At 41.1% G+C, this 26,405-nt stretch overlaps 1 protein-coding gene across 9 annotated transcripts in view; it reads left to right on the top strand.

Annotated features, from left to right (window-relative positions):
* The window catches only part of KIF24 (kinesin family member 24), an 81,292-nt gene that overhangs the window by 23,674 nt on the left and 31,213 nt on the right, over positions 1-26,405 (top strand). For 5 of the 9 annotated variants that reach the window (XM_011517863.4, XM_047423340.1, NM_194313.4 and 2 more), the window contains 4 exons: positions 3,557-3,746; positions 12,884-12,981; positions 19,609-19,824; positions 23,294-23,381. In XM_011517863.4, coding sequence (XP_011516165.1) covers positions 3,557-3,746; positions 12,884-12,981; positions 19,609-19,824; positions 23,294-23,381 — 592 coding nt within the window. Of the gene's footprint in view, positions 1-3,556; positions 3,747-12,883; positions 12,982-19,608; positions 19,825-23,293; positions 23,382-26,405 lie in introns of those variants that run through there. The other 4 variants (XM_047423343.1, XM_047423342.1, XM_047423344.1 and 1 more) reach the window with 3 other exon arrangements.

The raw sequence follows: 26,405 nt of genomic DNA, 5'->3' as shown, positions 1-26,405 counted from the left end.
CTTTTAATCTTGTAAAAAAAAAAAAAAAGTACTCCTTGTTTTATTTTAAACATTATATATGTGAGTTATGGGCAAACAAAATTCATTCTTGAGCCATATTTTCTTTTTAAAAATACTGTTATTCATACCTTAAGATAAAGAATTTATATCTGGTCTTACATTGGCTAAGGTTTCAGAAGATCTCATAATCAGTTATTTTACTCCATAAAAATAGAAGACTCAGTTTTAACAGTAAAAATATCTTTAATAATTTGAAATACATAAGTGAATTTTTATTATAATATTTCTGAAAACATTTTGTTTGGTCTAGGAGATCACAGAGCATGTAATACTGTTTTCTTCTTTTAATTCTGAGAGGAATAGATTGTTCCTTGACTATGAAGGCAGATTGTTGCTATTGCATTGGTTACCTCAGCGGTGAAGGAGTAAATATTTTCTTTTTTTTTTTTTTTTTTTTGAGACGGAGTCTCGCACTGTCGCCCAGGCTGGAGTGCAGTGGTGCAATCTCTGCTCACTGCAAGCTCCGCCTCCCGGGTTCATGCCATTCTCCTGCCTCAGCCTTCCGAGTAGCTGGGACTACAGGCGCCCGCCACTATGCCTGGCTAATTTTTTGTATTTTTAGTAGAGGTGGGGTTTCACCATGTTAGCCAGGATGGTCTTGATCTCCTGACCTTGTGATCCACCCGCCTCAGCCTCCCAAAATGCTGGGATTACAGGCGTGAGCCACCACGCCTGGCCTATTTTCTTGAATATTACTTTTTTACTGAACAGTACATAAAAATCTAAATTGGAATTACTTATAAGTAAAAATACCACTTTATTTAACACCATCAAGGATAGGATGGATATTTTAGTTTAACCATTACCATTTCATTTATTTGACTCTTTTGTTTATTTGTTTGTTTGTTTGATTTGTAGAGACAGGGTCTTGCTCTGTCACCCAGGCTGGAGTGCAGTGGTGCAGTCATAGTCCACTGGGGCCTCAAACTCCTGAGGTCAAGTGATCCTCCTGCCTCAGCCACCCAAGTAGCTAGGACTACAGGTATGCACCACTGTCCCCAGCTAATTTTTCAATTTTTTGTAGAGTTGGGGATCTCACTATGTTACCCAGGCTGGTCTTGAACTCCTGGCCTCAAGTGATCCTCCCACCTCAGCTTCCCAAAGCACTGGGATTACAGGTGAGAGCCACTCTGCCCTGCCCAAACTAGAGCTTTTTAAAAAAACATGCATGTCTTTTTGCTCCTTGAACTTGAAACTATGGGCCTTTTGTTCATATGAGTCATCCTAGAGCCCTGAACAATTTTAAAAAGGACCAAACATTTTCTATCCTCTTTGATCAGCTTTATATGATTAGGTTATTGATATCCAACAACTAAAGATTTTAACACAAAACCCTTATTAAAATGATGCATTAGGCCAGGCACAGTGGCTCACACCTCTAATCCCAGCACTTTGGGAGGCCAAGGCGGGTGGATCACCTGAGGTCAGGAGTTCAAGGTCAGCCTGGCCAACATGGCTAAACCCCATCTCTACTAAAAATACAAAAATTAGCAGAGCGTCATGGCAGGTGCCTGCAGTCCCAGCTATTCTAGAGGCTGAGGTAGGAAAATCGCTTGAACCCAGGAGGCAGAGGTTGCAGTGAGCCAAGATTGTGCCACTGCACTCCAGCCTGGGTGACACAATGAAACTCTGTCTCAAAAAAAAAAAAAAGCATTAAAAATTTTCATTTTTGATGAGCACAGTGGCTCATGCCTGCAATCCTGGCATTTTGGGAGGCCAAGGCAGGCAGATTGCTTGAGCCCAGGAGTTCGAGGCCAGCCTGGGCAACATGGTGAGACCCTGTTTCTACAAAAATACAAAAATTAGCCAGACATGATGGTGTGCACCTGTAGTTCCAGCTACTATTGGCTGAAGTGGGAGGATGGCTTCAGCCCAGGAGGTTGAGGCTTCAGTGAGCTATGCTCGCACCACTGCACTCCAGTCTGGGTGATAGAGCAAGACCCTGTCTCAAAACAAAAAATTCCCTTTTCTTGTGAAAAATCAAACATATGCAAAAGAAGAAAAAAATAGAACACTGAATCCCAATATGTCCATCATCCAATTTCTTTTTCTTTTTTCTTTTTTTTTTTTTTTTTTTCAGACAGAGTCTTGCTCTGTTGCCCAGGCTGGAATGCAATGGCACTATCTCACCTGTGAACTCCACCTCCTGGGTTTAAGTGAGCATGCCCAGCTAAGTTTTATATTTTTAGTAGAGATGGGGTTTCACCATGTTGGCCAGGCTGGTCTCGAACTCCTGACCTCAAGTGATCTGCCCGCCTCAGCCTCTCGAAGTGCTAGGATTACAGGCGTGAGCCACCGCACCTGGCCCGTCATCCAGTTTCAATGATTGTCACGATTTTCCCACAGTACCTCAAAATGGTACATTTCATTTATTCTGTCATTTATTTATTCCATCTGCAGTTTCATGCAAAAATGATGCATTTTAAAGTCCCTAAATGTTGGTTAAGAAAATAAAATTTGCTTTAAAACATGCCATAAAATTAGTGCTTTATGCATTCATTATATTAGAAAATTATTTGCTGGTTTTTTTTTTTTTAAACCAATTCAGATCCCAGTAAAAAAATTATTCTCCAGGCTGAGCGTGATGACTGATGCTTGTAATCCCAGCACTTTGACAGGCCAAAATGGGAGGATTGCTTGAGGCCATAAGTTGAAGACCAGCCTGGGCAAGATAGTGGGACCCTGTCCCTACAAAAATTACAAAAATTAGCCAGCTGCGGTGTTGTATGCTATAGTCCTAGCTACTTAGGAGGCTGAGGTAGAATTTCTTGAACCCTGGAGGTTGAGGCTGCAATGAGCCATGGCTGTGCCACTGTACTCCAGTCTGGGTGACAGAGTGAGATCCTATCTCAAAAAAAATTTTTTTTCAGCAGCCAGTTGGAGGGCTAAGGAAATCAGAATTGATATGAAACAATTGTATAAAATAGTATTCTATATATGATCTCTTAGGGGTTTTTTGTTTGTTGGTTGGTTTTTTGTTGTTGTTCTGTTATTTGTGTTTTTGCAAGGAAAAGGGCGGAGCAGGGTGGGGATGGAGATAGAAGAACTTTCTCAGGGTTGACACTTTACTTTGTAACTTTAAGAAATATATTATGCCTAATATACAGCAAAATGTACCAATACTTTTTTTTTTTTTGAGACAGAATCTGGCTCTGTCGCCCAGGCTGGAGTGCAGTGGCGCAATCTCGGCTCACTGCAAGCTCTGCCTCCCGGGTTCACGCCATTCTCCTGCCTCAGCCTCCCAAGTAGCTGGGATTACAGGCGCACGCCACTATGCCTGGCTAATTTTTTGTATTTTTAGTAGAGATGGGGTTTCACCGTGTTAGCCAGGATGGTCTTGATCTCCTGACATCGTGATCCGCCCACCTCGGCCTCTCAAAGTGCTGGGATTACAGGCGTAAGCCACCGCGCCCGGCTAAAAGGTACCAATACTTTGACCTGTTAAGTAATCTTGTCCTATTATTAAAAATTAAAAGCCTGTTTATAAACATATTAGACAGAACACTTCAGAGAAACAGAATCCTTGGACTGAGATGGAGAAAATCAGAGTTTGTGTTCGAAAACGCCCCCTGGGCATGAGGGAGGTACGTCGTGGAGAAATTAATATTATTACTGTAGAAGACAAAGAAACTCTACTTGTGCATGAGAAGAAAGAAGCAGTTGACCTCACTCAATATATTCTGCAGGTATGATGTTTTCGTTTTATGTTTGGAACTAATATTATCAAGTATGTCATTTTTTTTTGCTTTTTGTTTGAGTGGTGGCATACAAGTTTCTGTTAGAACACTGAAAATCAAGTTTCTGGTTCGGGTGTTGACATTCATTCCTGATGTGACACTGTATTAAGTCATTGATATCCAGGGCCTTCATTTTTTCAAAAGACGGTGCAATAGGGGATACAAAAACAATTTCTCTTGTGCAGTGGAGCTACATCATATATTCACTTAACATGCTTTGTGTGAATTTAATTATACATATTCAGCAAAAAAAAGGAGGAATGAAGGAATAAAAATAATTTAAATAATGAAGTGGGGCCAGGTGTGGTGGCTCACGCCTATAATCCCAGTGCTTTGGGAGGCTGCAGTGGGAGGATCACTTGAGCCCAAGAGTTTGAGACCACCCTGGGCACCATAGCGAGATCCTGTCTCTCCAGAAAAGATCTTAAAACTAGCCCAGCATGGTGGTGTGTACCTGTAGTCTTAACTACTCAGGAGGCTGAGGCAGGAGGATCACTTGAGCCCAGGAGTTCTGCATTACAGTGAGCTATGATTGCACCACTGCACTCCAGCCTGGGCAACAGAGGGAGGATCTGCCTCTAAAAGAATATAAAAATAAAAAACAAATAAATAATTAAGTAGTTGTCAACAGGACCAGTCACTGAATATATGACTATGAGATGTCACACAGTTGATTTCCATTCTTGCTTGCATCTCACAGTGTGAACTTCTCATTCTGCTGACTTTGAGACTTGGGTTTAATGATGGACAATATCTTTTTGGGCAACAGGACCGACAATTGCCAGCCACGTGCTTATTTTGATTCTCAGCTGTCTTGGGCTTATACTTAATTGGCGAAAATTGGGCTCTGAGCAGACCACTTTATACAGGGTAGATTGCAGTGGGTAAATAAAATCCAGAGATATGATTTCACATCTAACATATAAGGGTTTAAATAAAACACTAATAACTCAGCCATGTAAATAATGTTCACTGCCTGCTAGAGTGATTATGAAGAGTCCAAGGAGAAAGAGTTTGGTATTGAAAGAAACTTATTCCAAGCTGAAGGTACCTTGCAATAATTCTTTAGTCTCATAGGGAAACAGCAAACTCCACAGATGGAAAGAATCATCATTTAGGTACTCCTAAAATTGTGAAAAATTGTGAGTAATCTAAAACCAGATAATCCATTGGATGTTAAGATTTGAGAGTACACAGTTTCTCTTACTCTGAATCTACTTCCCTAAACATTCATATTATATTTATTCTTTCTCTCTCTCTTGTTCTCTTGCCTCAAAACCCAGTGACTGGTAGGAAGAAAAAAAAATCTGGTATGCTAGCAATTCACCTTAGTCAGCTGAGATCTTACATTAGTGGAATAAATCCTTTAATGCTGAAGTGATTTGTTAACACTTTCACCCTTTTTCAAACTTGTATTGTTCTTCTTTTTCTTTGGTTACCAAAATTGTGTTTCACAGAGATATTCAGAGTAATCCACTGAGTCTTTCTACTGGTACTAAATTACTAGGCCACTGTAAAACCAACCCAATCACTTTAACAGCCTTATCGATTGCTGATCAATGCACGGTCTATTAGTTCTCAGTGGGAGATATTTATTTTGAAAATGGACTAAATGACCAATTAGTTGTAATGCTATCTAGTTCCATGGCTACTTATAGCCATCGTAATAGCCCTATCCAATCACTGTCTACCTAAGACTTCCTTAATGATGCTTCTGTCACAGTAATTCCATCAAGGAGGCATCATCTTATCTTTCGTATTTTTCTGTTATCCCCAAACACAATAACCTTACTTTTTTTGTCATTACCACTGGTCAATACTTATTGAATACCCATAGTTTCCATGGCACTTTCTCTGCTGTTTGAACTTTGGACCTTTGCTCTCATAGGTCCGAATCCTTACCTGTCAATGCTATGATATAAAAATGCTGGGAAGACTTCTTTTTCTTTTTTCTTCCTCAAATAGAAAGAAGAAAAGGTAGGTTTATAGCAAACTGAGTGCTAAATAAATATTGATCGTAGATTCTTTGGGCTTTATTTTTAAACATATTTAGAGATAATAGGTTTTTGTGTTTGTTTTATTAAATGTCCTATCTTTTCAAATCTTGTTACTTAGTAAATATGATCATATACATGTAGTATGCTATCCTACCAAACCATTAAACTTTATATCAATATAATGAGTGAAACAAGGAAACAAACCATATTGTTTCATTCTAGTTTTTTGAAATTGGCAGTAAGTGAATACAAGTTTAATATGGAAGCTAATGCAGATGTTATATTACAAAGTGAGTAAGATTGGCCAACAAACACACAAATAAGCTATGGACCAATGGTTTTTGTCTGTCTGTTTGAGACAGGATCTGTCTCCATCGCCCAGGCTGGAGTGCAGTGGTATGATCCTGGCTCACTGCTACCTCCATCTCCTGAGCTCAAATGATCCTCCCACCTCAGCCTCTTGAGTAGCTGGGACTACAGGTACATGCCACCACGCCTGGCTAATTTTTGTATTTTTTGTAGAGATGAGGTTTTGCCGTGTTGCCCAGCTGGTCTCGAACTCCTGAGCTCAAGCAATCCACCTGCCTTAGCCTCCCAAAGTGTTGGGATTATAGGCATGAGCCACCACGCCTGGCCTGACCAATCTTATTTATAAATATGAGTACAAAAGCCTACATAAGACATTAACAAGTTAGTTTCAGTACTTTATACTGGCAGGCAAGCATAATCCAAGTTCAGTACTAGGAAAGCTATTAACTGTGATAGGCACTATAAAAGCATCTGTTTAATAATGCAACAACCATACTTGATTATTAAAATACTGTTGGTAAAATACAGAAGGATAGTTGCTAAATAATACACATACTTTTTTACTTAAAATCCTTTAAGACTCTTTATTGCACTTAGAATAAAATTTTAAAGTTTTAACAAGACTCTACGTGGTCTGGCCTCTGCTTGCCTGTACAACCAATTTCTTCAGAAAAAATACAGGCTGGGTATGGTAACTCATGCCTAGCATCCCAGCATTTTGGGAGGCCAAAGCAGGAGGATCACTTGAGCCCAGGGGTTCAAAACCAGCCTGGGTAACATGGTGAAAGCCTGTCTCTGTAAAAATTAAAAAAAAAAAATTAGGCTGGGCACGGTGGCTCACGCCTGTAATCCCAGCACTTTGGGAGGCTGAGGCAGGTGGGTCACAAAGTCAGGAGATCGAGACCATCCTGGCTAACACGGTGAAACTCCATCTCACTAAAAATACAAAAAATTAGCCAGACGTGTTGGCAGTCACCTGTAGTCCCAGCTACTTGGGAGGCTGAGGCAGGAGAATGGCGTGAACCCGGGAGGCGGAGCTTGCAGTGAGCCGAGATCGCACCACTGCACTCCAGACTGGGAGAGAGAGGGAGACTCCGTCTCAGAAAAAAAAAAAAAAAATTAGCTGGTGGTGAGGCACAGCGGCTTACACCTGTAATCCCAGCACTTTGGGAGGATGAGGGGGGCAGATCACTTGAAGTCAGGAGTTTTAAGACCAGCCTAGCCAATGTGGTGAAACTCCGTCTCTTTTAAAAATACAAAAATTAGCTGGGCCTGGTGGCACACACCTGTAATCCCAGCTACTTGGGAGGCTGAGGCAGGAGAATCACTTGAATCTGGGAGTTAGAGTTCACAGTGAGCTGAGATTGCGCCACTGCACTCCAGCCTGGGCAACAGAGTGAGACTCTGTCTCAAAAAAAAAAAAAATTGCCAAGCGTGGTGACATGTACCTGTAGTTTCAGCTACTCGGGAGGCTGAGGTGGGAGGATCACTTGAGCCTGGGAGGTTGAGACTATAGTAAGCTGTGATTGTGCCACTGCACTCCAACCTGGGTGACAGAGTAAGACTCTGTCTTAAAAATAATAATAAAGAAAAAGAGGCCAGGCACCGCGCTGGCATTACTCATGCCTGTAATCAGCACTTTGGGAGGCCGAGGCCGTGGATCACAAGGTCAGGAGATCAAGACCATCCTGGCTAACACAGTGAAACCTCGTCTCTACTAAAAATACAAAAAATTAGTCAGGCATGGTGGCAGGCGCCTGTAGTCCCAGCTACTAGGGAGGCTGAGGCAGGAGAATGGCGTGAACCCAGGAGGCAGAGCTTGCAGTGAGCCGAGATCACGCCACTGCACCCCAGCCTGGGCGACAGAGTGAGACTCTGTCTCAAAAAAAAAAAAAAAGAAAAAAAAATACATATATAGAAAAAATAAGATGACACTGAAATCTGAAATACATCAAAAAGTTAACAGTGGCTGAACACCTAGATTTAAGGATACTTTTATTTTCTTCTCTATTCTCTATATTTTGTTCTCTATTGTAATTTTGGTTTTTTAATTTTTCTGAGACAGGGTCTTGTTCTGTTGCCCAGGCTGAGGTACAGTGGTGCAGTCATGGCACACTGCAGCCTCAACCTCCTGGGCTCAAGTGATCCTCCCACCTCAGCCTCCCGAGTAGCTGGGATTACAGGCATCACACCACCATGCCAGGCTAATTTTTGTATTTTTTGTAAAGACTGGGTTTCTCCATGTTGCCTCGGCTGGTCTCAAACTCCTGAATTCAGGTGATCCACCCTCCTCAGCCTTTCAAGGTGCTGGGATTACAAGTGCCTGGCCCACATGTTACTTTTATAATCTGAAGAAAAACTTACTTAAAAAATAAACTGCACTTTGGGAGTCCGAGGTGGACAGATCACTTGGGGGCAGCAATTTGAGACCAGCCTGGCTATCATAGCGAAACCCCATCTCTACTAAAAATACAAAAAATTAGTTGGGCGTGGTGGCTGCATGCCTGTAATCCCAGCTACTCGGGAGGCTGAGGCATGAGAATCGCTTGAACCTGGGAGGTGGAGGTTGCAGTAAGCCGAGATCACACCCCTGCACTCCAGCCTGGGTGACAAAGGGAGACTGTGTCTCAAAATAAATAAACTGTGGAACTCTGATTCTGTCAAGGTTAGTAAGGTCAACGTAGGTGTTACTCCAGCCTCACTGATAAAGTGTGAGCAAATGAAAGTGTGTGTGATGCAAAGGACGTTATGAATTGTGTATATACATTAACTATAATAATCTTGCATGTTTACATATCTTTCATGAAAGATATTTACAAAAGTACTGGGAAAACCAATATCTAAACCTTATTGGAAGGAAAGATACTAATTCCCTTAATCAATAAATGCTTTCTAAGGTCTTTACTCAAAAGCTAAAGCTATCCATGAGCACTTTTAGAAGGAGAGACAGAATTGCCATATACTCGCTGTAATAAAAGGAAACAAAAAAATGTATTCCCACTTTAGTTGTGGGTTTTTTCTTTTTTTTTTTTTTTTTTTTTTTTGAGAAATGCCGAATATATCCACATCTATAGATAACTATAGATCTAGTGGGTTTCTTTGTTTTGGATTTCATACTTAACTATAAAAACCTATGGTGATAATTTGAGCAACGAATTATTTTGTCTCCTTGCCTAGAAACTGTGTATGAAATAGATATAAATAATGTTCATTAAAACCAGATTTTAGGCTGGGCACAGTGGCTCACACCTGTAATCCCAGCACTTTGGTAGGCCGAGGCAGGCGGATCACCTTCGGGAGCTCTTGAGACCAGCCTGGCCAACATGGTGAAACCCTGTCTCTACTAACAATACAAAAAAATTAGCTGGGCATGGTGGTGGGCACTGTAATCCCAGCTACTTGGGAGGCTGAGGCAGGAGAATCGCTTGAAGCAGGGAGTGGGAGGTTGCAGTGAGCCAAGATCACGCCACTGCACTCCAACCTGGGCAACAAAGTGAGACTCTGTCTCAAAAAAAAAAAAATACCACCAGATTTTAAAAATATGTTTAACTATTATTGACCTTTTTAAGCTTAATCAAAAGTTTAATGACCTCTCTATGTGCCTGTCACCCAACTTCAGTAGTTATTAATATTTTAGTGTTCTTAAAATCTTACCACATTTTTCAAAGCACTAAAAGTTCACACATCTATTATTCTTCAGATTCATTATTTTCTTACTTTGTAACTTTTTCTCTAACTTGTAGATTTGGATTTGTGTTCTCACTTTCTTCTTAGACAATCTAACAAGTTTCCATTCTAATGTAATGTAATGGTACACACAACAGATTCAAACTGGGGGTAGAGTGACCCACAGTAAATTGGCCCAAGTCCAGTTTTCTGGATCTGTCCATAAAATTTTTTCTTGACTAGATATTTAGAGCAGGCCCAAAAAGTAGAAGATAAGGCCTTATCTGTCATTCATGGTGTATGGACTGTCATTATGCTATACTCAGGCTTGAAATTACTAGGATTTCTCATATATATATTCTTACATATTAGACCAACTATACACACACACACACACACACACACGCACACACACACACACACATCTTGGTAGCCCAGCTATATATATATAAAAGAATATATATTATTGCATGTTAGTTTTATATGAAAAAGTAAATATCTCTGAATAGGATAGATTCACCTATTTTGAAATAGAAAGGTACAAAAGTGTAAAATACAAGTGTCCCTCTAATCCTGTTTCCTCCATGAAGGCAATTGGGGTTACCTATTCTAAGTGTATCTTTCCAGAGATATTCTATAAATACATGTTACTTTTATTTTTTTTTTAATTTTTTTATTTTTTGAGACTGGGTCTCATCTGTGGCCCAGGCTAGAATGCGGTGGTGCAAATAATATATTAGAATATATATCAGCCAGCATGGGCTCACACCTGTAATCCCAGCACTTTGGGAGGCTGAAGCAGACGGATCACTTGAGGTCAGGAGTTCGAGACCAGCCTGGCCAACATGATGAGACCCCCGTCTTTACTAAAACTACAAAAATCAGCCAGGCGTGGTGGCGGGCGCCTGTAATCCCAGCTACTCAGGAGACTGAAGCAGGAGAGTTGCTTAAACCCAAGAGATGGAGGTTGCAGTGAGCCAAGATCATGCCACTGCACTCCAGCCTGGGCAACAGAGTGAGACTCCATCTCAGAAAAAAAATCAATGAACAAAATATATATTACTATTATATACGTATAGTTGGGCTATATGTATATAAGAATATATATGTATGTATATTTTTATATATGTGTGTATATATACTATATATACGAGCTACCAACATAAGAATGATATATATTCATACATATATATATGTAGTTGTACCTACCAACATGGTAAGCCCCTAAATTATGGAAATAATTACAGCTGCTGAATTAATGCTTTTCAGACCCAATGTAATGGGGTCTTTTTTCTGTCTTTTTCCAAATTACTGTGATTTTTCATTTGGAAGTCGTCTTGGACCCCTTTCTCTCCCCAGCTCCCCACCTCTAGTCAGTTATCAAATTTCTTCTGTATCCATCTCTTTATTTCCATGGTTGTCAAATAATTTAGATGCTTTTTACCTCACCACTGAATTACTAGTGTCTCTGTTCTCAAACCATTCATAGTGTGAAGCCAGATTAATCTTCCAGTAAAGACTGAAATCATCCTTCTTGCCTATAAAGTTAGTTTTTCATTGTTTCCCCACTATTTACTGAATTAAATATGAGCATCCTGCCCCCCAGTTAAGACTGGTGTCCCAAGACCCCTACAACACAGTCCTAACTCATTATTCTAGTATTCTGTCTCTTTTTTTTTTTTTTGAGATGGAGTTTTGCTCGTTGCCCAGGCTGGAGTGCAATGGTGCGATCTCAGCTCACTGCAACCTCTGCCTCCCGGGTTCCAGCGATTTTCCTGCCTTAGCCTCCCAAGTAGCTGGGATTACAGGCGCCCACCACCACGCCTGGCTAATTTTTTGTAATTTAAGTAGAGATGGGTTTCACCATGTTGGCCAGGCTGGTCTCAAACTCCTGACCTCAGGTGATCCACCTGCCTCGGCCTCCCAAAGTGCTGAGATTACAGGTGTGGAGCCACTGCGCCCGGCCTCTGTTTCACTTTTCTACTTACTGTGATACTGTATTTCAATCACATTGAATCCTTGCTATTCCCTAAACATTAATTAATTAAACAGTTAATTCCTTGTGCTTCTATGCTTTGACTCTGTTCATACTTCCCCTGTGCCTGGAATACCTTCCCCCCTTCCATCACTCCCTTTCAAATTCCTCTTCTTCCCCTGTGGTCCATTCTCAGTATAGTCTTTTTCATAATCAGAGAGAATATGTTTTCCTTTGAAATCGACACGTACTTTATCTTAAGATTCTTCTACCTTCCAGTCATTTGCATACTTGTGTAGATTAACATTTTTAGGAGGTAAGATAGGGAAATGCTAGGGTAATGTCTATATCCTTGGGCCCCTTCAAGTGCCTACTGCAATGTATGTGCTACCAGCTGAGCATAAATATTTATGGAATTAAAAGTTAAGCTGTGTAATCTACAGAATTGAGATCTTCCCCTAGAATTCCTCCAAAATTCTTTTTTTTTTTTTTTAAATGGAATCTCGCTCTGTCACTCAGGCTGGAGTGCAGTGGTGCCATCTCGGCTCACTGCAAGCTCCACCTCCTGGGTTCACGCCATTCTCCTGCCTCAGCCTCCCGAGTAGCTGGGATTACAAGTGCCCACCACCATGCCCGGCTAAATTTTTGTATTTTTAGTAGAGATGGGGTTTCACCGTGTTAGCCAGGATGGTCTCGATCTCCTGACCTTGTGATCTGCTGGCCTCGGCCTCCCAAAATGTTGGGATTACAGGCGTGAGCCACTGCGCCAGATCACAAATTCCTCCAAAATTCTAAATATACTAGCTTTAGTTGGAATACGAGGATAATCCCCATAGAATTCACTTTCTCTCCTAGACCTAAGGAGGATTGACTCACTCTTGTGTTTATCAATTTACTTCTCTTAAGAGAAAACAAAAAATGTATGCCTTAGTTTTTACCTTGTAAGAACATGTCTACAGAGATCTCAAGTAAGAGGAGGCCCTGTCATTTAATAGTGATTGCTTATTTACCTCTAAGTTTGATATGGTCAGTTACTGTTACTTAAAGACATATTTTGGCATTTATCATCTGTTAACTAGAATAGTGATTAAGAAAATCCAGAATGTGTCTCTTTCCATAAAATCAAATTTATTTTTCAGCATGTTTTTTATTTTGATGAAGTCTTTGGTGAGGCGTGCACCAATCAGGATGTATACATGAAGACTACTCACCCACTTATTCAGCATATTTTCAATGGGTACGATAATGATTATTTGCTTTTTTTGCTTTTTATTTTCTATTTTCCATTAGGCCATATTTCTTTATAAATATCACATGCTTTTCAGTACTTTTGACTTAAACATGAATTTGTGTTTTGAGCTAATAAATTTAGATTCTTCTGAAAACATGCAGTATCTCTATAGGATTTACCAAGGATTTAGAAATTTGCAGTAAAATTTCCTCTTACATTGATGATATTATTTCTCTGTGTCTAGTGGAAAAATATATTGTGATAGATAGTGAAAGGGTGTTAAAAAAAAAAGAAAAATTAAGCTTTTAACAATATTATCCCATCAAAGTCCTCAGAAGAAAAAGGTTCAGGTGGTTGGAGTTAGTCTGAACTTTGATGATAGGAATTATGTATTCTGGCTATAGTTTAGTTAATTTTTTCTTTGGAATCAGATAGATAAGTGAATATCACTTATCAATTTTTCATAGATGTATTTTTTTTTTTTTTGAGATGGAGTCTTGCTCTGTCGCCCAGGCTGGAGTGCAGTGGCGTGATCTCAGCTCACTGCAAGCTCTGCCTCCCACATTCACGCCATTCTCCTACCTCAGCCTGCCTCAGCCTCCCAAGTAGCTGGGACTACAGGCGCCCGCCACCACGCCCGGCTAATTTTTTTGTATTTTTAGTAGAGATGGGGTTTCACCGTGTTAGCCAGGATGGTCTCCATCTCCTGACCTCGTGATCCGCCCGCCTCGGCCTCCCAAAGTACTGGGATTACAGGCGTGAGCCACCACGCCCGGCCTCATAGATGTTTTTTTTTTTTTTTTTGAGACAGAGTCTCACTCTGTCGCCCAGGCTGGAGTGCAGTGGCGCCACCTCGGTGCACTGCAAGCTCTGCCTCCCGGGTTCACGCCATTCTCCTGCCTCAGCCTCCTGAGTAGCTGGGACTACAGGCGCCCACCACCATGCCTGGCTAATTTTTTGTATTTTTAGTAGAGACGGGGTTTCACTGTGTTAGTCAGGATGGTCTCGATCTCCTGACCTCGTGATCCGCCCGCCTCGGCCTCCCAAAGTGCTGGGATTACAGGTGTGAGCCATCGCGCCCGGCCAGATGTATTTTTAAGTTATTATTCACACTTAATAAACGTTGAATGGGACAGGAATGATAGTAAGGGCCTCTGTTGCATAAGTATTTAAAATATAGGCATGGGCCACATGTGGTGGCTTGCACCTGTAATCCAAGCACTTTGGGAGGCCAAGACAGGAGGATAGCTTGAGCCCAAGAGTTTGAGACCAGTCTGGGCAACATAAGGAGACCCTATCTCCACACACACCAAAAAATATTTATTTTATTTTATTTTATATTTTTGAGACAGGGTCTCACTCTGTCACCCAGGCCAAAGTGCAGTGGTGCAATCTTGGCTCACTGCAACTTCTGCCTCTCAGGTTCAAGCAATCCTCCCATCTCAGCCTCCTGAGTAGCTGGGACTGCAGGTGCCTGCCACCACGCCCAGCTAATATTTCTGTATTTTTTTAGAGATGGGGTTTTGCCATGTTACCCAGGCTAGTCTTGAATTTCTGGGCTCAAGCAATCCTCCTGCTTCAGTCTCCCAAAGTGCTAGGATTATAGGTGTGAGCCACCATGCCTGGTCTATAAAATTTTTTTTTTTAATTAGCCAGGCATGGTGATGTGCACCTGTGGTCCCAGCTACTTGGGAGGCTGAGGTGGGAGGATTGCTTGAGCCCAGGAGGTCAAGGCTGTAGGAGCTGTGGTCTTGCACTGTACTCCAGCCTGGGCAACAGAGCAAGACCCTGCCTCTGTCTGTCTGTCTGTCTGTCTGTCTGTCTGTCTATCCATCCATCCAATCCACCTACCTAGCTATCTACCTACCTATCTAATCTACCTACCTACCTATCTACCTACCTATCTATTAAAATTGTAGGCATGTATGATAGAAAATGCCAAGTAGCCTGCTAGTGTTGCTGATTCCAGAGAATTTTGACTGTTTTTTCAAACAACTTTTTAAAAATTGAGGGATAATTTACATACAATAAGATGCACAGATCTTAAGTATTCACATTTGATGAGTTTTGAGAGTTTTATATACGTGAGTAACAAATATCTGTAACAAGACATGGAACATTTTCATCACCCCAGAAAGTTCTCTTGTGTCCCTATTTAGTTAATCCTCCACCCTCACCCCCAGGTCTTAGGTAACCACTGACTTACTTTCTGTCAGTATAGATTAGTTTTATCTGTTCTACAATATCATAGAGATAGAATCATTATACTTATATGCTTAACATAATGTTTGCTTAGCATAATGGTGTTTTATATTAGTACATGTTGTTACACGTATCTGTGGTTTTCATTGCTGAGTAATATTCCCTTCTATGAAATTATCACACTTTGTTTTGTCTATTCTCCTGTTGACAGATATTTGCATTGTTTCCGGCTTTGGACTTTATGAATAAAGTATGAACATTCTTTTTTTTTTGAGACGGAGTTTCACTCTTGTTGCCCAGGCTGGAGTGCAATGGTGCGATCTCAGCTCACCGCAACCTCTGCTTCCCGGGTTCAAGTGATTCTCCTGCCTCAGCCTCCCAAGTAGCTGGGATTGTAATCCCACACCCGGCTAATTTTTTATTTTTTAGTAGAGATGGGGTTTCTCCATGATGGCCAGAACATTCTTGTATAATTTTTTTTATGAGCATGTTTTCATTTACTTTGGGTAACAACCTAGAAATGGAATTGCTGGCTCATAGGATAGGTTTATATTTATAAGAAAGTGTCAGTCGGGCACAGTGGTTCACGCTTGTAATTTCACACTGTGGGAGGCCGAGATGGGAGAATCATTTGAGCCAGGAGTTCAAGACCAGCCTGGGCAATATAGTGAGACCCTATCTCTAAAAAAAATTTTTTTAATTAGCTGGGTTTGGTGGCATATGCCTGTAGTCCCAGCTACTTGGAAGGTTGTTGCTTGAGCCCAAGAGATCAAGGCTGCAATAATCTGTGATCACTACACTCCAGCCTGGGCAACAGAGCAAGACCCTGTCTCAAAGAAGAGAAAAAAGGGAAAATGTCAAACAACTTTTCAAAGTGTACCATTTTATACTCCCAACAGTAACATGAGAATTGTAGTTCTGCAATATCTGCTATCGTCAGGCTTTCTTATTTTAGCCAATCTAATGGGTATTAAATAATCTCATTGTAGGTTTAATTTGAGTTTCTCCAATGCCTGATGATACTGAGCTTCTTTTCATGTTCTTTTTTTTGAGACGGAGTCTCGCAGCCCAGGCTGGAGTGCAGTGGCGCGATGTTGGCTTACTGCAAGCTCCGCCTCCTGGGTTCACGCCATTCTCCTGCCTCAGCCTCCCGAGTAGCTGGGACTGCAGGTGCCCGCCACCACGCCCAGCTAATTTTTTCTATTTTTTAGTAGAGACGGGGGTTTCACCATGTTAGCCAGGATGGTCTCGATCTCCTGACCTCATGATTCACCTGCCTCGGCCTCCCAAAGTGCTGGGATTACAGGCCTGAGCCACCGCGTCCGGCCTTTTTTTTTTTTTTTGAGATAGAGTCTCACTGACACTCAGGCTGGAGTGCAGTGGTGCGATCTCAGCTCACTGCAACTTCCGCCTCCCGGGCTCAGGCTATTCTCGTGCCTCAGCCACCCTAGTAGCTGGGATTGTAGGCGTGTGCCACCACACCTGGCAAATTTTTGTATTTTTAGTAGAGATGGGGTCTTGCCATGTTGACCAGGCTGATCTCGAACTCCTGGCCTCAAGTGATCCGCCTGCCTCAGCCTCCCAAAGTGCTGGGATTGCAGGTGTGAGCCACCGTGCCTGGCCCTTTTCATGTCCTTACTGACCATTTGGATATCTTCATTTGCCCATTTTTTTGTGCTTTGTTGTTTTGTAAAAGCTATTTAATTTTTTAAATTTTATGAGAAGGCTAAAAATGTGAAATATCTCTTAGGTTCAATTTCTTAGTAAGGGCACCAAATCTAGGGAATGCTTTTTGAGGAGTAAGTTTCTAAAATAAGTTAGAATTTGAATGTTAAGACTTTAGTAATAACAAGAGTTGCAAGTTAAGTGTATCCATTCTTTAAAGTATAATAGGGTTTTTCACTCCTGTATTGTTGCTTTTTGAAAAAGCTCATCCCTAAACTGTTCAGAAAGTAAAGTAGATATTATTCTTTCCTCTTGCTCTGCTGGATCTTCCTTAGTGTGTTCAAATTTTTCTCCTGTAATTCATTTCCCAACTCCGCCTCTGCCGGTATTTATAGTACCCACACTGCTGGGAGCCAGGGTTCAAAAGGCAAAGAGTAGCTGGTCTCTGCTCCAAGCAGCTTACATCTAATTAACTCCCATGTCTTGATTCTCACATTTCTATGGTTCCCTTGCTTTTGTCATTTTACTCTTTCTTTGTTTTCTACCTGGCTTCAAATCCTTTTCTGTGTACTCATCTCTCTGCCCACCTCCAGCCTCCCCCATCCCTGTCCATGCTATAAATCAAAGAAGATGACCCAGGCAAGTCTCAATCATTGTAGATTTATTTGCCAAAGTTAAGAACGCAAGCCCAGGAGACAGGTCTATACCTTTCTCCAAAGACGATTTTGAGGGCTTCAGTATTTAAAGGGTAAGATCTGAGAGCAAATAAAAGGGGAAAAAATAATAAAAGGAAAAGGAAAAAAAATTTACAGGGGAAAGGGTGGATATTGGAGGAAAAGAAATATGTTTTAAATGTTTCAATAGATAAAAAGACAAAACAGTTGCATCCTTTCGAGTCTTTGATCAGTCTTTCACTGAATACTCAATTTTCATATTGGGGATTGGAGAAAATAGTTCTTCATGTTTCACCTGGCCCAGTGAACTGCATTTTACATTAGATAATGTAGACAACAGTAGGGCAGAGGAAGCATCAAATATGCATTTATTTCAGGTGAGCAGAGGGATGACTTAGAGTTCTGTCCTGTGTCCTCCATGTGTGAAGATAAGCTATCAATTGACATTGCCAGGGTGAAATTCAACACAACTGTTTTAAGGTGAAGACCATGAGCCCACAAGGAATTTCCTAGTGGGCAAAATGTGAGGGAGATATGTAGCTTTTTATCTTTGTAGCCATCTTATTTAGGAACCAAATGGGAGGCAGGTTTGCGGGACCCATTTCCCAGCTTGACTTTTCCATTTGGCTTAGTGAGTTCGGGGTCCTGAGATTTATTTTCCTGTCACAATGCATAGACTTTTTTTTTTTTGCTGCAAGCAGCTATTTTTATCATTAATCCATGAGATTCATGTTTAAGAGTCTGCAACAGCTCTAAGATTATGTTCATTCTCTACTTAGCACTGTGTGGGTGAATCCCACAACACTCAGATAATCTTGGTCTCCAACTCCTCGTAAAACATACTGTGATTGACAGGCTGGTCTCCCAACTCCATTCTCCACCTCTTATTCTGCAGTTCTTCACACTCATAAAGGGTGTGTACGCACACATGTAACCACATACAAGAGCAATGATTCTCACTTAGAATCATAGGGCATCACAACTGGAAGGGATCTTAGAAACCAATCTACTACTACTTAGAAACTAATCTACTGATAAAAGTGAAAACTGAGGCACAGAGAAAAGTGAAGGGACTTGCCTAAGGTCATATGGTTAGTTAATGGTAGGGCAGAAACCAGAGCCCAGGCTTTTTTTTTCCCCTCAAGATTTGGTGTGCCTGCTGCCATCTTTACTACTGTGGCCTCTGTTCACGCTATTCCTATTCCACAGTGGAAGCTCTCTGCTTTTCAGCTTCTGCCTTCAAGGCCCAGCCCAATTCCTACTCTTGTGAGTCCTTCCTCAAATACTTTGCTTACATCAATTTCCCCTTTATCTAAACTTCCTTAATTATGAGTGGTCACTACCATCTTGCTTATCACATGATCTCCTGTTATTTCTCGTATTTAATTCTCTATTCTTTCACTAAATTTAACTTTTCAGATTAATAGTAGATCATCTCTAGGATCCTCTAAAGCACCTAGCATGGGGTAGGAATTCAGTAAATGCTTATTGGCTAAGTGGTTTCTTTAAAGCCCTTGTTTCTTTATCTTCTAGAGTTGTTTCTCTTACTGGTTCTGTAAGAAAATTACTATAAGAAAACTCAGGCTGGGTGTGGTGGCTCATGTCTGTAATCCCAGCACTTTGAGTGGCCGAGGTGGGCAGATCATTTGAGGTCAGGAGTTCGAGACGAGCTTGGCCAACATGGTGAAACCCCATCTCTACTAAAAATACAAAAATTAGCCCGGTATGGTGGCGCACACCTGTACTTCCAGCTACTCAGGAAGCTGAGGCAGGAGAATCACTTGAACCCGGGAGACAGAGGTTGCAGTGAGTGGAGATCACACCACTGCACTCCAGCCTGGTTGACAGTGAGACTCCATTTCAAAAAACAAAAAAAAAAAAAAAGGAAAACTTGTGTAGTAGTTTGAGAATTTTTTTTCCTCTTCCTGTGTTCTTATAATGTAAAGTCCTCTTCTCCTTAAAGGTTTATGTGTTTATAGCTGAATTTTCTCTAAGATTCTATGTTTACATTTGACCTTTGTCATTAAAAATCTATGGGTAAACTAATACTTCTCTTAATATGCATAAGTAATGCAAATTATCCTTTCCCCAGAGGCAATGCCACTTGCTTTGCTTATGGACAGACAGGTGCTGGAAAGACCTACACCATGATAGGAACTCATGAGAACCCAGGATTGTATGCTCTAGCTGCCAAAGATATCTTCAGGCAACTAGAAGTGTCCCAGCCAAGAAAGCACCTCTTTGTGTGGATCAGCTTCTATGAAATTTACTGTGGACAGCTTTATGACCTCCTAAATAGAAGAAAAAGGTACTGAATATGAGTGGGAAGCGATAAATCTGTTCATCGCTATTTTAAGCCAGAGTCCCGGAGAATCACTGAATCATAGGCTTTAATGAGATGCTTTGGTACATTAGTGCCCTTTTGTGAAATGAGGCTCCTGCATCAGATACATATTTTCTAGCTGTCAATTCAGCTATAGGAAAATGTAAATTAGCTTTTCATTAATATTTTTTAAAGTGTTCAATATTCTAATGTCTATCAAAAGACTTTCCCTTTTATTTTGGTCTATGAAGAAGGTCATAATTTCAGGAAGTCAGGAAATCAACACGTACTTAAACCCCTTCCTGTTCTTTTGACCTATTATTATACTGGAAAAACTATAAATAATGTTTTCTACTTTCTCTTGTTTTTCCTCTAAATAATCTTAGGGTAAACACCATGATAGTTTTCTGAAATCAATAAGAAGAAAAGAAAATCTTCTCTTTAGAGTTTTAACCCTTGTTAGGCTTAAACTATTGCTCTTGCAACATAATATAGTAATTTAGAAATGTATTCAGTAACTCTGCTTTTAAACACCTATTATATTTTTCTTGCATGAAGTTTTGTTTAGGTTGAAACAGATGACTTAAACTGAGTAGGAGGCAAAAGAAGTTGTGGAGGAAATGGGAGAATAGAGGTTAGAGGGAATGGGGGAGGTGGAAGGATTAAAGGCTGTCATAACAGAATTAACCAGATTTGAGATGTTGGAGGAGTGAATTGAGGCTGAGCCTCCTGGAAGACTAGGGAAACCTAATCAGCTTGAGACTAGCCCGGCAACAAAGGTATCTAAGCCTCTATGGAGCTGTCCAAAAGGATGCACAAGTTTTGCATGCTCCAAGCAAGCAATGGAATGGGGAGTGGGGGAGCAGTTCCAGTTCAATAGGGAGACCATGATAGGGCAGGCCCCCATTGTAGAGGGTCAGTAGGGTACTGAGTAGCATAACTGGAGAAGCCAGCGAGTGGGCTTAGGCAGGCCTCTCTCCTATAACTATTCCAGTGAAAAGGGGACCTTCAGATATGCCACTTGAGATTGTATAGGTGTTCAGAATTCAGTCCTGACCAAACAACTGCGAAATAAAAGAGGGTGCTACTCTGGGGATGCTTGAGGAAGAGTTGCCTTTCTTTTTTACCTTCTTGGTGTTGAAGTCTCGAATTAGCTCAATCACAGCTTCTCCATCAAGCTCCAATGCCCTCATTAGGAGCCCTTTCCAGTCAGAATGCCCACTTCCCTTAAAGAACAATTGCCATGGAATAAAAGCCACTGTGCTGTGTGTGTGTGTGTGTGTGTGTGTGTGTGTGTGTGTGTGTGTGTGGTTTATTTGGGTGAAGGGAGGTTAGGATATCTAGCTCTTTCTGAACGCATTTCTTTAATGAATTGCCCAGATTATTTTATTGCCCTGTATATTTGCATTCCTCAGTTGTAGCAGGGGAATAGGCATATATTAACTCTTGGGTTTGATGCTTCTCTGAGGCTCACTAGGGAAGACCTATGCTTACTCTACAAGTGTCATGGCCTGTGGGGTTCATGTATATATATATATATCCATTTAATTGTCTAATCTAATCTATTTCCTACCTTTCTGGGGCTTCTGAAATGTTCTGGTCCATTGATGGCACCCTTTCCTGTTTATGCTGTTATGCTTTACCCTGTTGATTTTTTTTTTTTCTTTTTCTGAGGCAAGGTATTGCTCTGTCGCCCAGGCTGGAGTACAGTGGTGCCACCACAGCTCACTGCAGCTTCATCCTCCTGGGCTGAAGTGATCCTCCCATCCCAGCCTCCCAGGTAACTGGGACTACAGGTACATGCTACCATGCCCTGCTAATTTTTATTTTTTGTAGACACAGGGTCTCCCTATGTTACTTACCCAGGCTGTTCTCAAACTCCTGGGCTCAAACAATCCTCCTCTCTAGGCCTCCCAAAGTGTTAGGATTACAGGTTTCAGCCACTGTGCCTGACCAATTTTTAAATAAGATTTATTTTCTATAATAGTGGGGCTTTGACAAGGGTAGACAAAAGTATGTATGTTCAGTGTGCCTCTTAAACTGGAAAACAAAGCTTAAGGATCTTGAAATTAATTCCTAGAAGTAGAGGATAAATTGTTTTTATACCTTGCATAAAAGCTGAAGTACATTTTAGGCTGTCCATGAGGAATCTTTCTGGGGTGGGCTCAGAGATTAAGGCCTGGGAAATATGTTCAGGAATGACAGCAGGGCTCTAAAAGTTAGATCTTCCTTTTTTTTTTTTTTTTTTAAACAGAGATGGGCTCTTGCTGTGTTACGCGGCTGTAACATAGTGACTATTCACAGGCGCAATCATAGCGTACTACAGCCTCAAACTCCTGAGCTCAAGCAATCCTCCTGCCTCAGCCTTCTGAATAGCTGGGACTACAGACACACACCACTGCATCCAACGGCTAGATTCTTTTACTCTAGAAGGCTGACTGTTTTAATAGATTTGTTTTCAGAGAGATGATGGGCATTGGTGAGGCTGTTTCCCTCCAATCCTTCTGTAGAGATCTGGAAAACTGGGATGAAGCATAGACTGAGAAAAAAATTATTTTTGAGAAAATCATTCTTGTATTTTAAGTTATGAAGTGGAATTCCGTTCTTAACCCTAATCAGTATCTTATTAAGAGGGAAAAATAATCTTAGAGTCTTTGATAGATTCAACATATGCCTCTCAGTGGATCTGGTTTAATGATGATGGTAGACCATAACCATTTATTACCTTGAATGCAGTCCTAAGGCATTCAGATGCAGCCCAGCTCTTCCTTGCTCCTTTATAAGATGTATCAGGTCTCTTTACATTGCAAATAAAAGAAAACCCCATGTGTACTAGCTTAAGCATTTAGGGAAATCATTGGCTCAAATAACTGGAAAGCTTAGAGGACAGTCAGGCTTCAGCATTGGTTTACTCCAGCAGCTCAGGGATGCAATAAGGACCCAGTTTATTTGCATCTCTTCATTCTGTCTTCTGTGTTATTAGTTTCATCCTGAAGCCAACTCTCTTTGTAGATACAAAATGGCTTCCACTGCTCCCAGGGCCACAGGGCCATATGCTTTCACATCCAGGGACAGAGAGAGAGCATCACTTCACCAGGCATCTAACAACCAGAGACCAGGACTTTACTTTGATTGGACCAGCAGAGATCCCATATCCACCTCTGAACAAATCACAGTATAGCCAGGTGTACATCATCCACTGATTAGCATAGTTTAGATATGTGCTCATTCTTTTAATTGTAGCCAGAGTTGTTGATTTATTTTACAACAATCAACAACCACCCCTGAATCGGGCTGAGGTCAGGAGGGTGGGGTTGGGAGGAGGATAAGCATCCATCCCACTCAAACAGAAAACTGCTACTTAATAGAGGAATGGTGGAATGGTTTCTGGGGAGGCAAGAACAAAGTCTGTTTTAGTAGCACCATCATACCAACCACTTTCTTGCATCTGCAGGCTCTTTGCAAGAGAAGATAGCAAGCACATGGTGCAGATAGTGGGACTGCAAGAGCTTCAGGTGGACAGTGTGGAGCTCCTCTTAGAGGTAATTAATTCTTCCTTCTTTATTACCCCACCACAACAGTGTAAGTACAGGGAACAAATTCATTTTGCTACTAAGCAAGTACTGTGGACTTATATTTAGGCAAAGGGCAATGACAAGCCCACCACTTCCCATCTGTAAAATGTGAATTCTTTTCTGAGAGGATAGCTTGTTTCTCTATAGGGTTTCTCCCACGATTAGTGGGAGGTAGGGCATGTGGGAGAACTTAATTCATTGGGAGGATACTACTGGGCCAGTTTCTTTTTGTTGTTGTTGTTGTTGTTTTGAGATGGAGTCTCGCTCTGTCACCCAACCTGGAGTGCAATGGCACAATCTCTGCTCACTGCAACCTCTGCCTCGTGGGTTCAAGCAATTCTCCTGCCTCAGCCTCCTGAGTAGCTGAGATTACAGGCTCCCACCACCACACCTGGCTAATTTTTGTATTTTTAGTAGAGACAGGGTTTCACCATGTTGGCCAGGCTGGTCTTGAACTCCTGACCTCAGGTGATCCACCCGCCTCGACCTCCCAAAGTGCTGGGATTACAGCCGTGAGCCACCGCACCCAGCCTTATTGGGCCAGTTTCAAATGCTGCTAATGTGTTTCTCTATGGCAGTGGGCTCTGGGAAAAGCTGCTGGAGACAAATATTTGCACTTTAAATTCTTTTTACTTTTTTTTTTTTTTTTTTTTAAGCAACAGGGTCTTGCTCTGTTGCCCAGGCTGGAGTATAGAGGTGTAGTCATAGCTCACCGCAGCCTCCCACTTCAGCCTCCCAAGTAGCTGGGGACTGCAGGCACATGCCACCACACCTGGCTAATTTTTTTTTAATTTTTTTTTTTTTTTTTTGAGATGGAGTCTCACTTTGTCACCTAGGCTGGAGTGCAGTGGCGCAATCTCTGCTCATTGCAAGCTCTGCCTCCCGGGTTCATGCCATTCTCCTGTCTCAGCCTCCCAAGTAGCTGGGACTACAGGCACCCGCCACCACGCCCAGCTAATTTTTTGTATTTTTTAGTAGAAACGGGGTTTCACCGTGTTTGCCAGAATGGTCTCGATCTCCTGACCTCATGATCCGCCCACCTTGGCCTCCCAAAGTGCTGGGATTACAGGCGTGAGCCACCACGCCCTGCCAGACCTGGCTAATTTTTAAAAATTTTTTGTAGAGATGGTGTCTTGCTGTGTCGCCTAGGGTGGTCTCGAACTCCTGACCTCAAGCAGTCCTCTCACCTTGGCCTCTTAAAGTGCTAGGATTACAGGCGTGAGCCACCGCACCTGGCCCTTATTTTAAATACAATTTTTAATAAGTAATACTATCACATGAGTTCAGAATTCAAAAGTGAAAATACCCACTTCCATTTCCTTTTCCAGAGCAACTAATTTTATTAGTTTTTTGTGTGTCCTTCCAAAGGAATTTTTCAATCTGCTTCTTTTATTAAGTTATTCTTTTATTGTAATAAAAGTCATACTTATCATTAAGTTTAAACATTACAGAAATATGTAAGAAGATAGTAAAGGCCCCTCTAACTTACTATACATACCCCACTTCCCCTGTTCCCCACTGAGCTATCCACTGTCCACGGTAAAATATTTAATTTTTTTTTCCTGTTCTGGGCATTTATTAACGTAAGTACAAATAGATTTCTGTTGAACCTTCCTTTAATGCAGTGTTCCTCAACCCTGGCTTTACATTAGATTGTTTGGAGCCTTTTTTTCCTTACTTAAAAAATGATTTAACCTTTTTTATTGTGAAAAATAGCACTATACAGAAAAATGCATAAAACCTAAGTATGTACAGTATAAAGAAACAAGCACCCTTGTAATCAGCTACTCAGATCAAGAAATAGAACATTGTAGCACCCTACAAACCCCCTGTGTGACTTTCCAATAACACCCCCCTATTATCCTGACTTTTGTGCTGATCACTTTCTTGTTATTTGTTATAGTTTTACCACCTATGTATTTATCCCCAAACCATCTAAGTTAGTTTTCATCTGTTTTTGAACTTTGCTTGAGTAGAACTACACTGTGTATTTTTTGGTGTTTTGTTTCTTTTGCTCAATATTATGCTTTTCAGTTCCATTGAGGTTTTTGCATTTGGCTTTAGTTTTCTTCATTTTTATTTTCTGTAGAGTGTTTTATCATAGGAATATACCACAATTTATCCATTCTCCTGTTAATAAACAACTGGGGTTGTTTCTATTTTAGAGTTATTTGGAGCATTGCAGCTGTGAGTGTGCTTATACATGTATTTCTGTACAGAGCACATGGGTTGTCTAGGATATATACCTAGCTGTGAAATGATTAGGTCAGATGATATGCTTTTTCTTTTTTTATTATTTTTATTTTTTTCTAGAGACAGGGTCTTGCTCTGTCCAGCCCAGGCTGGAGTCCAGTGGCATGAACACATGGCTCACTGCAGCCTTGACCTCCTGGGCTCAAGCAATCCTCCTACCTCAGCTTCCCAAGTAGCTGGGACCACAAGCATATGCCACCACACTTGGCTAATTTTTTTATTCTTTGTAGAGACAGGGTCCTACCATGTTGCCCAGGCTGGTCTCAAGTTCCTGGGCTCAAGCAATCCTCTCACCTCAGCCTCCCAAAGTGTTAGGATGACAGGCACAGTGGCCCATATTTTCAGCTACACTAAATGCTGCCGACTGTTTCCCAGAGTGGTGTGCATTCCTACAAGCAGTATATGAGCAATCCCGTTGCTCTTCATCTTGCAGACACTTTCAATTGATAGATATTTTGAATTTTTGCCAGTCTGGAGTGTTTAATTATATTTTATTGTGGGGTTTTAATTTGCATTTCCCTGATTGAGAATAAAATTGAATATTTTCTCATATTTTTAACTTGTAATTTGGAGTTCCTCTTTTGGGAATGCCAGTTTGGGTCTTTTCCTCATCTTGGGTTATCTGTCTTTTCCTTGTCGATTTGTATATTCCGGATATGAGTCTTGTTGGTTATTTGTATCATAAGCATGTTGTCTCATTCTGTGGCTTGTTTTCCCAGTTTCATCATAATGTCTTTT

This window comes from Homo sapiens, chromosome 9 (genome assembly GCF_000001405.40).
Source record: "Homo sapiens chromosome 9, GRCh38.p14 Primary Assembly".
NCBI classification, from domain to species: domain Eukaryota; kingdom Metazoa; phylum Chordata; class Mammalia; order Primates; family Hominidae; genus Homo; species Homo sapiens.
The sequence above is the reverse complement of the archived record's forward strand: the minus strand, read 5'-3'. Positions and strand labels throughout refer to the sequence as shown.